General features: G+C 58.5%; 1 protein-coding gene across 2 annotated transcripts, besides 2 other annotated features; it reads right to left on the reverse strand.

The window, feature by feature from the left end:
- Positions 1–225: 225 nt before the first annotated feature.
- Positions 226–11,179, reverse strand: TBC1D3B (TBC1 domain family member 3B). Of its 2 annotated transcripts, none has more exons than NM_001001417.7 (14): positions 11,023–11,179; positions 9,522–9,594; positions 9,274–9,359; positions 7,951–7,990; positions 7,388–7,468; positions 6,837–6,944; positions 6,398–6,507; positions 5,098–5,146; positions 4,434–4,554; positions 3,623–3,717; positions 3,173–3,238; positions 2,610–2,709; positions 2,087–2,239; positions 226–1,106 (listed from the first exon to the last, which is right to left on the reverse strand). In NM_001001417.7, exons 2-14 carry the CDS (start codon positions 9,591–9,593, stop codon positions 538–540), a joined length of 1,650 nt encoding a protein of 549 aa, NP_001001417.6. In that variant the 5' UTR covers position 9,594; positions 11,023–11,179; the 3' UTR covers positions 226–537. The 2 variants fall into 2 exon arrangements, with proteins under 2 accessions (NP_001001417.6, XP_005258037.2); XM_005257980.5 differs by having other exon boundaries at positions 7,951–8,173.
- Positions 8,854–9,354: an enhancer, noted in NCBI's record as "H3K4me1 hESC enhancer chr17:34501670-34502170 (GRCh37/hg19 assembly coordinates)". NCBI's record gives its function as "activates a minimal SCP1, AML or CMV promoter by ChIP-STARR-seq in naive H9 embryonic stem cells {active_cell/tissue: H9 hESC(naive)}" and the evidence as "EXISTENCE:reporter gene assay evidence [ECO:0000049][PMID:30033119]".
- Positions 11,084–11,584: an enhancer, noted in NCBI's record as "H3K4me1 hESC enhancer chr17:34503901-34504401 (GRCh37/hg19 assembly coordinates)". NCBI's record gives its function as "activates a minimal SCP1, AML or CMV promoter by ChIP-STARR-seq in naive and primed H9 embryonic stem cells {active_cell/tissue: H9 hESC(naive and primed)}" and the evidence as "EXISTENCE:reporter gene assay evidence [ECO:0000049][PMID:30033119]".

Below are 14,946 nucleotides of genomic sequence, written 5' to 3' on the forward strand. Positions count from 1 at the left end.
ACCTAGGTTTCCCAGGCTGGTCTCAGACTTCTAGACTCAAGTGAACCTGAACCTCCCACCTCGACCTCTCAAATTGCTGGGATTACAGGTGTGAGCCACCACACCCGGCCTAAATTTCTTATGTGCCATGGGACTGCAAAACATCATTATTAGGGGCAGCTGGATGGAAGGTATAGGAGGACACTATAGTGCCTTTTCAATATTTCTGTCTAAAATCTAAAAGCATTTCAACAGGAAACATTTATTTCAAAACGTGAAGGTAGTTATCCTTCCATGAGTTTAAAGTACAAAGGCAGGCTCACGGTGTCGTCAGAATTCAGAACGATGGTCGTGGGGCTTGGGGTGCTGGGAGGGGCTGGGCATGGTTGGCTTTGTGATCTGGGGTCTGGTGTGTTCCATCTCTGAATGTCTCTCAAGCTGCACTCTTTCTTAATACATATTCATAAGTTTAACCAAAAATAAAACGAGGACGCGAAGCTTGCTTGGGTTGTTAAGCCTAGGGAAATTATCCAGCCATGAGCCCTGGCCCAGATGCTTCTAGAAGCCTGGAGGGAACTGAGAACTTTCCAAGTGGAGGCCGCAGAGGCAAGGCCCTGAGGTGGGAGCACACTGCTGTTCGTCCCTAGCTCTGAAGGGGGTGCCCTGGTCGGAATCAGTGCTGGGTGCAGCGAAAGCCGATCTCACCCGCTCCGCAGGGTGTTCAGCCTGCCAGCAGGGGGCCAGCTGGTCCTCCTGGGATATGGCACGGACCCAGCAGCTCTGTCTGAAATCATAATGGCGGAACCAAGGCCCCTCTACGTCCAGGTCCGTTGGGAGGCGGGGCATGGAGTTCCACTGCAGGAATCTCCAGGAACCCTGAGGTCCTCCCTGAGCCAGGGCCGGGCTGGGCACACCCTGAGTGCCCACAGGGTAGGTGTCTTCCCGGACAGCCCCACCAGGACAGGGTGTGGAAGAACGAGGTGCCCGTGGCGGGGAAGCTGACCAAATGGGCCGCGGGAACCGGGCTGGTGGGCCTGGAGGGGCCTGCCTGTCCCCCTTGCAGAGGGTCTTCCTGCCACGTGAAGCCGGCACAGGCCTGGATGCCGACGACCCTTGCTCGGGTTTGGCTGAAAGGAAAACAGACGCGGTCAGCATCTCCAGTGAGCCCACGCAGGCCTTTCCGGGCTGGGCCCCACCTGCCTGCATCTCGGAGTCCTCGGGGTCTCTGTGTGGCCCCCGTGGCCTGACACCGAGGACACGCCTGTAGTCTGCTGATCCCAGAGGGAGGGGTGCATGCTGCCTGGCGTGGGGAAGCTGTCGTGGCATGGCGGGTGGCTCCTGGGACTGCCCCCAGGGTTCAGACTGGCTGGGGGCTTCCTGCCACACACCTTCGTCCCAGGGCTGTTGGGCCTGGGATACGGCCCCCAGTCAGAACTCAGGTGGGAGGGGCCTTGGATGTCACCCAGCCCCTTGTCACCTCACGTGGGGACCCGTCTCCGCAGTGGGTGATTGGGCCCGGACGTGGGTCACCCTCTGCCCTCCTGGGCTGCCCAGTCCATGCCAGGACTGACCGTTCCCACTTCTGGCTGAACTCTTGGCTCTGGCTCTGGGCCCGGGGTCCCGCCTGTGCCCTCTCCCTGAATGCTCTGTGGGTCAGGGACACCGATTCCCTTGACTCCCTGGCTCCAGGCTTCTTGTCCTGGCAACCTTGGAGGAGCGTGCAGGAGTGAGGGGCCTCTGCTGCTCTCTGAGGCTGTGGGTGCTTGCAGGGAGGGGCGGGGTCTCCCACAAATGGGTCTGGGCTCGTCTAGTAACTTGGAGGGCCCTGCGAGGGGGAGAGGGAGACACCGTGGAAAGTGGGAGGGGGCTTGTTGGAGGGTCTTGCCCACATCCCCCTCCTGCGTGCACAGCATGTCCAGTATACACGCACTGAGCGCCTGCCCTGAGGACCGGTGGGCCTCCTGTACTTTCTTAGAGTCCAGGAGGAAGAGGAGGAAGAAAAGGTGAAGAGGAAGGCCCAGGTAGTAGGGTTGCGGGTCCCGGGCACTCCCCTACTACTGACTACCCCAGAGGGTGACATGGGAGGGGACATGGCACTGGAGCCCACCTGGGGGTGGCAGGTCCCCCTGCTTTCTTGTTAGTTTCTTCATAGAGGCCCTAAGATGCTTGAGCACAGTGTCCTCATCCCTGGCCCAGGTATCAACGAACCGGTTGCAAAAACGTGCCCACGGGCCACACCTGGACGTCTTCGTGAGGCGCTCTAGGGACAGGGTGGATATCAGGCCAGGGGAGTTACCTGGGAATGGTCACAGCTCATACCCCGTGGCCACTTCAGTCTCCTACTGGGCGGTGCCGGATCCTTTTGTGGCCACCCCAGGTGTCCAGATATACACAGGAGACTGTGGCTGGGGGGCGATCCGGACAGGGAAGTGCTCACCACACTCTCGACTTTCATCTGGGTCATGTGAGGGATGGGCTCGGTGTCACAGTGTCCTGCCCAGCCCACCTGGCCGGACCTCCCTCTGGGCCAGAACAGCGGATCATGAGGACAGTGTGAGGAAGCTGCCCTCGGGCCAGTCGGGGTCTGACCCCAGGGCTCCCCAGGCCCCGCTGGGCACACGTAGACTTACTCTGCTGAACCTTAAAGGCGATTCTTGTTATCGGCATCAACGCCTGTTCGCCTTCTACCAGATACACGTCCCACAGGCGCAGGGTGAGCCCGAGAGAGATCTGTGGGGACAGCAGGTGTGAAAGAACCTGGTCCTTCCAGGCTGGGGCTGGTGGCTCGAGCTGCACACACTGGGGCTTCAGTCTCCAGAGTCAGTGACCTTCCCCATGAGGGTCGGCTGAGCCCTCCAGGACGCTGGGTCAGACAAGGTCTTGAAGCTCCTCATGGGGGGCACTCATTTGAGTGGGGATGTGGCTCCTGGAGAGAGGGGCTTGCCCAGGGCTTGAGGCTTCCCTGAGCCCTCTCAAGTTGGGTCCTGGCCCAGTCTGCCCATGAGGCTGGGCCTGAGCCCCAGCCATTGCCCTGGGATGACTCCTCTTGGGCAGAGGGTTTTGCTTGTGTGTCCTTTGGGGACCCGCCTGAGCCTCCTGTGGGCTGGGAGTGAGCCAGACCCCCGGGCTGGGGAAGCAGGGCACTGCAGGGCAAGGAAGGTCCCTGAGCCAGGGTCTCCCTATGCCTCCTTACCCCGTCAATCAATATCCGGATGAGGCAGCCTAACGGGGAACACTGCCCACATAGATCTTTCTTGTCCTGATGGAAGCAACAGAGGTGCTCAGGCCACTGGGCTACCCTAAAAACCTCCCTCTTCCAGGGCCTCTGAAGACCCTTCCCCTAGTGCAGAACACTGGGCGGTGTCCAGAGCTCCCCACAACACTGTCACCTTCCCACACTCCCGGTGGACACACTGCCCTTTGCCCTGCTCTGCGGGAGCTGGGCCCCCATCCCTGTGCCTCTGTCTCCTCCAGGGCAGGAAAGGAAACCAACTCCCAGCCCATGGAGAACCCAACGTCCCAGGTCAGGCCCTGGCTGGGACTCAGCCAGTCACCAGCCCCACGAGGGGCCCCAGCCCCCCTGCTCCTACAGCCCCACGGGAGGCAGGGCCTCTGGGAAGAGCTGAGGGGACCATAAACTCACCTGATGCCCCATGGTCTTGGATTGTGACGTGGCTACCACATGCTCCTGTTGGTCTTGGAGCCCCTGGACGGTCCCGCCATTTGGGCTGTGAAATCCTGAGAAGCCCCCAGCCCATCATGAAATCAGAGCCTTCCCCCAAGATGTGGAGCCATCAGCTGCAAGAGCTGGGCAGCTGGAGAGGCCCCCAAACCCCAAGGCTACTCCCACCCTCCCATCTGGTGACCCCAACATGCGGCCTTTACCCTGGGGAGGTGGGGCGGGAACATTCCCTGGAGCCTGGCTGGAGGTTCCCCTGGAGGCCTCCTGGGCCAGGGTGCAAAAAGGGCAAGCCTGACTTTCAGGCCACGACAGGGTGGCCGGAACTGGGTGGGCGCTGGGCTTCCCGGTCATCTCCTGGTAGTGGGGTCGGGCCAGGGGAACAGGGGATGGGGAGATGCTGCCACCTGGGCTTGGTCGGCCCATTCGTGGGCACCGATGGCAGCAGGAGCCCGGGCAGCTGGAGGGCAGGAGGACTCTCAGGGAGGGGAGAGTCAGCTGCACAGAATCAGAGCCGGAGGGCGTGGCTCCAGGACACAGAGGGTGGCCACGGGGAGGATGAGATGCCCTCTGCTGATGGGGATGACAGGCGTCTGATTTGGGCTTTGGGGGTCAGCCGTGGACTCCTGTGGGACCCTCAGCAGAGACATCCTAAAGTCTCCCAACAAGCTGGCGACACAAGGAGGGTGCCTTGGCTGAAAGCTGTGATCACCCGGCCAGGGTGGCCATCCCCAGGTCTGGCTGCAGGAGGTCCCCGGGGCAGCTGTTCACTTACCCTGCAGGGAGTGCCTCTCACTGGCCAGCAGCTGCACCAGTGCCCAGAATGCATCCTCCTCAGGAAGATAGAGGAGGAACAAGGCGGCGATGTGGCTCAGGTCCCTGCAGTAGCCCACCTCCTGCAAGAGCCAGAGTCACCATGGAAGGACATCACCTGGGAGGGCTGAGGTCACCTGGGAGGACTCATGTCATTGGAGAGGGCAGAGGTGACTGGAGAGGCTTCCTCTGAAGGAGAGGCTTCCTCTGAAAAAGAGGCTTCCTCAGGATGCACATTCATTTCATGACAAGAGCCAAGTCCATCAGGCACTTCAGCACCTTGTCCAAAATGTCTGCTGATAGCACCATCCTGTGTGCGATGCTGCCAAGCTCCTGGGCTTTGGGGCAGCCCCAGGAGGAGGGCGTCATTTCTTGTTCTGAGAAGTGGTGGTCAGGCCCAGGTGACACCAGGAGTCCGGGCCCTGACTCCTTTGTGTCTCAGCTTGACCCCTTGAGACCACCCCCTTCCTTGGAGGTTTATGCCAGCGGTGAGCTGACATCCTACCTCCTATATCCTGGTGGGTCACAAATACTAACTTTAAAAGAAGCAACGACACCCCCACCAGACACCCACTCCTGTCAATATGGAAATATGGCCCGGGAACCTCACTGCCGGGAATACTCACCGGGTTATACTCCTCATATGCCAGGAGGATGTGGAGTAGTTCCCGCTGCCTAGGAAACAGAGAAAGGGGGCTTTGGTTTGTTTTGTGCAGATGTTGTTAATTTCACTTTGTCTACAAAGCCTAACAGCAAATCCCATTTCAGGTTCAGATGTTTCACCAGATAAGCAGTGAGCTCTTCAGGGCCTGAGACTCTTGAAGAAATGTTTCAGTAAAATCCACATCTGTGACATGCAAATAGCCCAGTTGTACAGTGACTTGCCTGATCCTTTTCACTCTGAATGATTTTTTTTTTTTTTCAGTTTGCACACACGCCAGTTCAGTCTGTGGGTGTACAGTTCCTCCACGGTTCCAAACCAATGTGCAGAGTCTCCCGGCCACCGCTCCAGCCCCTCCTGGGGCGACTCCTTCATCCTCCAAGTCTCCAGGGTGGCCCCTATGCACCCAGCCTCTCCCTGATCCGTCAGCCCCTGGCCACCCAGACTGCTTCTCAGTCCCTGTGGTTTGGCCTTTTCCAGAATGGCCTAGGAATGGGAATCCTACGGTGGTAGCTTATTGGGTCTGGCTTCTGTCCCTCAGCAAAATGCATCTAGGATCCACCCACGTTCGTGCGGGCATCACCGGCTCGTTCCCTTTTCTCACTGGGTCTTCCGTTTGAAGGGAGGACCAGCCTTGCTCTCCCCATTCCCGTGTTGAAGGCCGTCCCCGAAGGCTCCGTGTGTGAGTGACGAGGAGTCAAGCAGTGAACCTGGCATGCTGGTTTCATGTGGATGTCAGTTTCCAAATCAGTGGGTTCAATATCTGTGACACTTTGGGGATGTGTGGTTCAAGTCCATCGAGCTTTGTGAGCCACTGCCCAACTGGCTGCCAACGTGGCTGTGCCATGTCATGTTCCCAGCGGACCTGGATGAGAGTTTCCAGGACCCCTAATTCTCCCAGCATTTGGTGCTGTCACTGTTGCCTGGGGGGGCTCATGGGCCCTCTATCCTGCCACCCTCCCGTGGGTCCTACCATGGGTCCCCATGGGTCAGGGAGAGCACCCTTCACCATTGTGCATGATTTTGTTTGCTGCCTTCCATCTCCTCAGGATCCTCCTGGGTTCTGGCCCCACATGTTCCAGTCTGGCCCAGGGCTTGGAACCAGGGAGGTGCTCGGTTCATGGTGCCGGCTGCTCCCTGGGCCGGGAGAGCTCTTGGCAGCTGTGTCATCCCTCCTGGGTGACCCTGGCTTCTGCTCCGGGGAAGCCCCCATCCCTCTCATTCACCCCATCTCTGCTGGGACCCTGTGGCTCCCGTAGGCTTACTTGGTTCCGTATCGATCCCTGAAGAACATATGCTTCCTTAATGTCCCGCTTATGTCCCGGTCGATGCGCTGGATGTGCTCAGATGACCTCTTGCCCTTCTCCTTCATGATCTGTAGGGCAGGGCCAAGCGGAGGAAGCAGTCTCAGAACAGATGGAAGACTCCCTGCCCCCAGTGGCAGTCAGCCCACAGTCAGCACTTCGGGAAGGAAGGACAGAAGGAAGGTTTCCTTCTGCAGAAAGCTGCATTTTGGCTTGTTACTGAAGCCAGGGAGGGTCACCAGAGCTGAGTTTGTCTGTGGTGACTGTGTCACCATCTGTGCCCAGGGTGTTCATCTGACCTTCACCCCCAGCTCCCCAGGGTGGTCTTGACGTTCCCTCCAGCTGGAGACCTGGGCCCCGACACGGCCTGTCCTGTTTGTTGTGCTCTGGCTGAGCGTACCTGGTATCTTCCGGGGTTTTTCAACTTCATTTCCTCAATGTTCAGGAGGACTGACCACATCGGGCCCCGGATGTTCATGGGCATTCCCTTGTACGCTCGATCTATGAGCTGTGGGCAGAAAACAATCTGGTGTCACAGGCCACGGGGTGACCCCAGTGAGGACCAGAGCCCGGGGATTCTGGAAATTGTCGGTTTTGGCCCCATGATTCCTCAGTAGAGGTGAGATCAAGCTGGGACAGGGTCTCCCTTCCCAGGACTGAAAGAGTGGATGGACACTGAGAGTCGAAACTCTGATCTGAACCTTTTCCTTCCTTCAGGTCACCAGGGCATCCCTAGCCTTGAGCTCCGGGTAGTCCCAGCCCTAGATTCAGATTCCCTCCCTGCAAGGTGACGCTTGCACGAATAGGCAGGAAATCTGGCGACCAGGCCTGCAGTCCTCTGGGCGAGGACAGTGTGCCGCCCACCCTCTGAGAGGCTGATGGTGCCAGGCCACAGCCATGGGTGCCTGTCCCCTGTCTCTGCAGAGAGTGCTTCCTCCCTCCACACGTTACCTTTCTGCTGCTTTTGTATTTCTCCCAGTCTCCCAGCATATCCACCCACTTGCTCTTTCGGCTGATCTCCCGCCGAATTTGCTGTCAAATGAGGCATGTTGGAGTTAGCGGAGCTGCCAGGCTTCCCAGAGCCGCCCGCGGATGCTGGGTCTTGGGCTCTGGAGCCCTGGTGGGAGCCAGCTGGAAGGAGCCAGGGAAGGGCAGACCTCAAGGGCTGAGAGCCTTTGAGCAAATGAGCACCAGTGGGCTGGCTTTGGGACCCCGGGATGTACCATCCTCAGGCCACAGACACACCAGTCTTAGGTCCCAGCCTCTAGGTGGGGTCCTGACACAAGCGCGCAGCCACCCCCAAGCCAGGACTGTGGTTCTCCTTTTGGAATTTTATCAAACTGCCAAAGTGAACAGCAACCTGGGGTCAGGTCCAGCAGGGACTGCTGCCCCTCCCAGTGACAGCGTGTTGCCCTCACCCGCCACCGCTCAGGCCAGCTGCTTCCTCTGCCTCACTGACCACCCGCCCAGTCCCTACGTCCCTGGACCAGCCCCTCCACGCATCAGGCTCTTACCTTCGCCTCCCGCGCAGTCAGAGGAGGCAGCTCCGTCTCACTGTAAGGCAACCCAGGCAGAGCTGAGGAACTGCACGGGGCCTGGAGCGGCCCCAGCCTGGGTGCCGACCCCCAGAAAGGACTGGCTCTGTCCCTTTCCAGCTCAGGGCTCAGCCCAGGAGAAGGCACAGGGAAGGGAGGACAAGGGCCTTCCTGTGGGGCTGACTCCCAGGAGGGGCAGGACCTGGGAGAAGAAGGAGTGTAGGGACAGCCTGGCCGGGGTTACTGGGGCCCCTGGCGTGGGGGGCGGTCAGGCTGCCCAGTGGGGCTGCCCGTCCTGGACTCGAGGTGGTGCTTTCTGCTGGAGCTGAGAAAGGTTAGCCCTGAGATGGGATGGGGGCCGCCCAGGGTGGGCGACCGGGCCCTGACAGGAGTCCCTCAGGGAGTGACCACATCCCCCCGCCAGGGTCAAGGGAGCCTGCCCTGAGACCTGCCCGGTGTACTCTGGCTGCACCAGGGGCCCACCCCACTTGACAGCCCCAAGGCCCTTGCAGGTTCTGACCTCCCAGCATCCACCTGCCTCTCCCTGCACCCGAGCCACACACCCTGCGTTTCAGAAGTGGCACGGCTCGTCAGCTCCCTCCCGCCCTACCTCCCCAGGGATCCTCTGTCTCTCCATCCTGTGATCCCTGAGGGATGGGCTCCTGGCTGGGCTCCTCTTACCCGGCCCCAGATCCCTTCCCAGCACCAGACCCAGGTCTTTAGCCGCGAGCCCTGCTGCCTCCCTGGCCTCACCGTGAGATGCCCAGAACGGGGCCCTGCCCATCTTCTCCCCCGTTCTCCTAGGGCTACAGCCCCCATTGTCACCATGCCTTTTCCCCTCACGGGACAGTGAGGGCTGTAGCTCTAGGGGAATGGGGGAGAACAGGGGCAGGTGGGCCCTCAGAGACCTGCTGGACAACAGCCCTGAGGCTGGGCCAGGCGTCCCCTCACCCTGTGGCCATAACCCTTGCATCTCACCGGGGTTGTCTCCAAGTAGACAGGGCCAGACCCTCAGGCTGCCCCGCTCCTCTTGTGCTCACTTGCCGACAGAACTGCTGAGCGCCCAGGGGCCTGACCTAGCCCAGTCTCCATTCCCACCGGCTCCCTAGATGGGCCCCACACCTCTGGCCTAACAACCTCGGGCTGGACCTGCAGGGGAGTCAGGGAGGAGTTCTGTCCCTGGAAAGGAGGTTGACCCGACCTGGTGAGACATGTCCTGCGTCAGAAAGGCCTTTCTAAAAGCAAACCCATCCCTGAGCTGAGACAGGTGCTTTAGGGGTGAGGGGAGTGCAGAGGACTCACTGTACAATCCCCAAATGATCGACGTTGTTGTTGTAGCTTCGAAAAGGCTTAGGCCCCTTGTCCTCTGGCAGCCCAGCTCGGTGTCCCTGTAGCCCAGAGGGAGCCTTGGTGAGGGGTCCAAGGTAAAGGGTGCAAGGGCCTGGGGGCATTGGCCACCCGTCCCTGCCCTGTGCTCCTAGGGAGCCCAAGACCCTTTGACCAGGGCACACTGGAAGAGGCCTCCCTCCAAGAAGCAGACCGACTTGTACCTTTTCGTATTTCATAATGATGTCCTCTCGCTCTTGTGCCCACCAACTACCCGCGACCTCTACCACGTCCATCCTGTGAGACAAAATTGTCTAAAGGTCACACTGTACGCGGCGGCTTCGGAGAACACCTGAACTGCTCTCGCCGGGCTCCCAGATGCTGGCTGGCTGCGTAACCCCCATTCCACCGCCGCCCCCAGGGAAAAAGGGGCCAGACCCAGTGGCCCACAGCTGCTCCAGTCTCTGGAGTCTCAAGTCCCAAGCAGGGGTGGGCATCTTCCCAAGGACTTGAGTACAGTGGGACCTAGACAGAGAATCCTGTTGTCCCCCAATGCCATGAAATGGGGACACACCGGCCCCAGCAGGTTGAATGGTTTCCACCTGCCAAGGGTGAAGGGCCCATGATGGGCTATTCCAGGGATGTGGAGGCAGACTGGGGTCAGCGACCAGAGGTCTCTGTGCAATCGGCCTCCTGGGATGCTCAGGGCCTCAGAGATGCCCAGTTTCCTACAGGGAACAAGATCTCTCCCGACTGCTCGGTTCTACTCCGCTCATCACTTTGGCTACCGTGGCTCTTCAGTCTGAACAGTGAAGCCACTTTAGGAATAACGCCTGTTGAGCAGGAGGGTGTTGGGTTTGGGGGATGAGGAAGATCTATTGTACGCATGGAAACCACGTCTCTCGCGGAGGGACTGTGGAGTCCACCATTCTGAGCCGTCCCAACAGGAGGAGGCTTCATTTTCCTGGGTCACTGAGGAAGAACAGTGGGTCCTTGGTCCTGGAGAACAGCTGGATGGACCGTCCCTCCTGGGAATACTCGAGGCAAAAGGAGGGCGAGGCTTCAAGAGGACCACGCAGAGCAAGAAATACCTGGGGAGAACCCTAGTGCCCGGACCCCTTTGAACACAAGGGAAGATAGTCTCCCCTCAGCCAGCCCTCCAGGGCTCCTTCATTTTCCACAGCTGCCCAAGGGCAGCAGGCTCCCCCGGACAAGGCACCATGTGTGTTCAGTGGGGCCCACAGCGACCATCAGGACCCAGCTTAGGGCACAGAGGTGTTCTGAGGACCGTCAGTGGATCTGTACCAGTGGCTCTATACCAGTGGCTCTGCCAGGACCAGGCTCTGCCCCATCGGGATGGGAAACCTGGGCAGATTTGGGATCTAGGGCAGGGAGGTCACAGGGTTCAGGCCTGAATTCCAGCACAGCACACGGCAGGGCTGAGAGCAAAACTCAGGGTCATGTCCGGATTCCCAGGCCGGTTACTGCCTCTCTGACCCCAGACGTCTCATCTGTCGAATGGGGACATTTGGGAACAGCACCCACTCTACGAAGCCACCATGGAGACGAAAGAGCCAATCGTCTACACGGGCAGTGTAGAACGGGCGCCTGGTGAGTGCTCAGGGATGACCCTCCTCGGTAGCTGCCCCACAGAGGCCAACACCGCCCGCACCGTAGCCACTGTCCCCAAGTCCGCCTGGAGGGAAGAGAGCAGGTCACGCTCACCTGATTCTGATGAATCAGCTGGCCTGGGTCATGCCTCTCAGGGAGAAAACCTTTGAGTCCACAGAGCTGCTCACAGATACCACTGCCTGTGTGTAACTGCTGTAGACCACTGAGGCAGGCCAGAGAGCAGATAGGTGCTAAGCACCAGTGACATTCTGAGGTCATGGCACGAATCACAGTGGGGCCTTGCCCGGGTCAGCAGCACCCAGAGTCAGGGTCCTCCGCTGCCTGAGGCGTCAACATGCCTGCCTGCAACGTGTTTGTGCACGTGCGTGCACACGTGTATGTGGGTAAACATGTCTGTGCACATGTGTGTTGCTTCTCTGGCCAGGCCCGGCTGCCCCACTCATGTGTGCACCCAGTTCCTCATCACTGTCACCCCCGAGGCCCAGGGCCAGCATCAGAGCATCCATGGCTGCTCCCTAACCTCAGCCCTCCCCGCCCAGGGTGGTCCTGGGATACACATAGGGGTGGAGGGAAGTGACTGCTGCTGTTGGATCTCAGAATACAAAAGCTAATACTATTACCTAATGGTCTTTTTAGTGTATCTAATGGTATCGCTTTTTCATTTCTGATATTTTAACTGGGTATTTCTCTCCATGACCCTTGGATATTCTAGCTAGAGGATCCTGTGGGGAAAGTGCCGAGCACACAGTAGGGGCTCACTCTTCTAGACATGTTATCTAAAACCTGGTTCATCTGTCCTTCCACGCAGGGCCTAGGGGATGCCAAATTCCAGGGTCCAGAAAGAGCTTGGGATAAAATGAAACTTCAAGGGGACGGCTTTGACCTGGGCTGAGTCTGTCTGTGCCATCCAACTGGAGTCTCAAGTCCTGAGGCAGGACGTCCAGATGCCCCAGTGCAGGGCCCTCCTGATCAACACCTGCTCCCCTGTACTCATTAGCAACCTCACCCACCCTACTCTCAAAGCACACTTGGCTCTCGTATCCAGGAGCTCTGCATCTATAGATTCAGCAACAGCAGATGGAAAATATTCAGAAAATAAATTGGATGGTTATGTTTCTATTGAACATGTGCAGACTTTGTTCTTGTCATCATTCCCTAAAGAATACAGTATCACGACCATTTATGTAGCATCTGCATTGTATTACACATCATAATCTAGTAACGGTCTAACGTATACGGGAGGATGCGCATAGCTTATACGTAAATACTAGGCCATGTTCTATCAGAGACTTGAGCATCCATGGATTTTGGCATTCCCGGGGACCCTAGAACTAATCCTCCATGGATACCAAGGGATGACTGTATATACTCACTCAGGAAGGCTTCTCATTGGAGGAAGGGCCCGGTTCAGGACAGACAGGGACATCATCCCTGGACTACTGTCCATCCATCCATTCATCCATTGGCACCACCCTCTAGGACTGTCCCAATGACAGCCCTAGCAAGTGGAGATAAGAAAAAAGACTGGCTCAAATGGTACAGCTTTGAGGTCTTGGAAGATGTTGCACCAGTATGAGAATAGGGGGTCAGTTTCCTCCAGGATCCAGAAAGCATATCAGGCAGGCTCGGGGAGAGGAAAGGAACACGGCCTCTCCAGCAGCCACACAGGCCTGCAGTAGGATGGGGCTGGGGCTGGGGCTGGGGCTGGGACTGGGGCTGGCCCCGTTTATCACTTGGGCCTCATGAGGGGAAAAGAAAGGACAGGGGGCAGAGGAGGAGCATGGGGGCAGCGGGTTGCCTAAGGAGAAGGCGCCTCAGGGAAGGGGTATTAGTTTGTTTTCACACTGCTATAAAGAAATACTTGAGCCTAGGTAATTTATAAAGGAAAGAGGTTTAATCGACTCCCAGTTCAGGGAACTTACAGTCATGGCAGAAGGCGAAGGGGAAGCAGGCACCTTCTCCACAAGGCGGCAGGAGGGAGTGAGCGGAGAAGCAGGAAGTGCCACACTTTCAAACCATCAGCTCTCCTGAGAACTCCCTCACTATCAGGGGAGCAGCAGGGGGGAAACTGTCCCCAGATCCCATCCCCTCCCACCAGGTTCCTCCCTTGACAAAGGAGGATTACAATTCCAGATGAGATTTCGGTGGGGACACAGAGCCCAACCTGTGAGGGTCTCAATCTATCTTGTAGCTCCCCTGGGGCTGGGGCTGAGTACAGTTCTGCTGGCCCTGCTCTACAGCACGTGGGGACTCTTCCTGTGTGCCCCCATCTGCTCTTCCTGGGGATGGTGGCTGCTTCCTCAAGAGGAGGGTGGATCTGCTCTCCTGCCCACCCCTCTCCAGGGCCTTTTGGAGCCCTGGCCACGTCCTCCCTGGGTAAGGGCAGGAAACCGGGCTCCTTGCCCTTCTTGCTGCTTGGGTGACAATCCTGGGGTCATCCATAGGCCCCATCACTGTTCCCGCTTCTAAATGGAGGGTATTTTGGCACATCTTCCTGGCGGGGTCCGGGGCCTCATCCCTGTTATTTATTCTATCTTGGTAAAGCCAGGTTAAGACATCTGGGCAAGGAGATAGTAGAGTGGCCCCCAGGAAGGGTGGGTGGAGGGCCTGGCCTTTGGGCTTGCCTGGAGCAGGGTGGGAGGGGGCAAGGTTACCAGGAAGCAGGGCTGTCAGGGCCAAAATCAGGAGGCGGTGATAATGCTGGTGGGGGGACAGGGCTGTGTGCTTGGCTTGGGGTGGGGCATGAGAGCCAAGGTTTGTCAGCACGCAGAGGGGTGGCTGACTCATGGACTAGGGGCTATGGAACCCAATGGCTGCCCTTAGTTCCTGGATCCTGGGAGACTTCTGGAGCCTGGGTGTGGGGCAGCCTAGGGGTGGAGGTGGGGCAGACAGGGGTAGGGGTAGGAGAGGAGGACTTGCATGGCAGGGTGCAGGGTAGGAAACCAGCCAGGGGCCAGTTTGCATTGGCGGCTCCCATCCCCATCCCCACCCCCAAGCCCACCCCTACCCCCACCCTGCTGCAGAGATGGGCCTGGGCTGCTGTCCTCTGCTTTGGCCTCAGCAGATCACACGATGGAAGCTGGCAGCCCCGTGGGCACCACTCGAGCCAGCTGTGACCTGCAGTTTCTGCTTCCTGGAGTGTGGGGCGCCCACTCAGGAGAGCACGGCACACCCCACACCCCTCATTTTGAGGATGCTGGGAGGTGGGGACCAAGGTCCTGCAGCCCTCTGCTTGCGCTATGAAAGGTAGCCTAGGAGTCCTGTGTCCGCCCATCCACGTGGGGCCCCAGGAGCCTGAACAGTGGCAGGCAGAGAGATGAGGAGGGTGAGAGAAGTGGAAAAGAAGGAGAGAGAAAGAGAGATGGGGAGAAGGGAGTGAGATAGAGAGAGGATGAGAGATAAGGAGAGAGACAGAGGAGGCTGAGAGGAAAAGGAGCGAGAGAGACAGGCAGAGAGACACAAAAGGCAAAGAGAGAGACAGGGAGAGACGAGCATGAGTAGGAGGTCGGGTCACTCTCGATCCCAGTCCCCAGTGAAAACCGTAGGTCGCCATCACCTAACTACGCGTGCAATAAAGTCTTCTGCCTGCTGCTTACAGCCCGAGAACCCTTTTCCGAGAGAATAAAATCTTTGACCGTTGCCCTTTCTCGCCGGAGTTTGCTCGTGTCTTCTGATGAACTGTGATGTCTCACCTATCGCCTTCCTGGGCTCAAGGATCCACGAAAAGCCGACGACTCTTTTGGGGAGGCTCTGCAGTGCCTTCATCTCACTAGGCTCCCCAGGAAGCTTGCGAACTTGGCTTGAGCCCTAAGCAGCCGAGTATGTGCTGGGCCTCTGCTTCTCTCTTTCAGTAAGAGGGAGAACCAAGAAAGAGGCTGAAGCATGGTCTGCAGAGAAGGCACTTGTGCAAACACCAGGAGAATGAGGGGCCTGAGTTGTCTTCATTTCTCCTAAAAACACGCATTTCCTCCCAGGCCACCCTAGTGAGGGCATGAAGCACAGCGTGTGTGTGTGTGT

This window comes from Homo sapiens, chromosome 17 (genome assembly GCF_000001405.40).
Source record: "Homo sapiens chromosome 17, GRCh38.p14 Primary Assembly".
Lineage (NCBI taxonomy): Eukaryota > Metazoa > Chordata > Mammalia > Primates > Hominidae > Homo > Homo sapiens.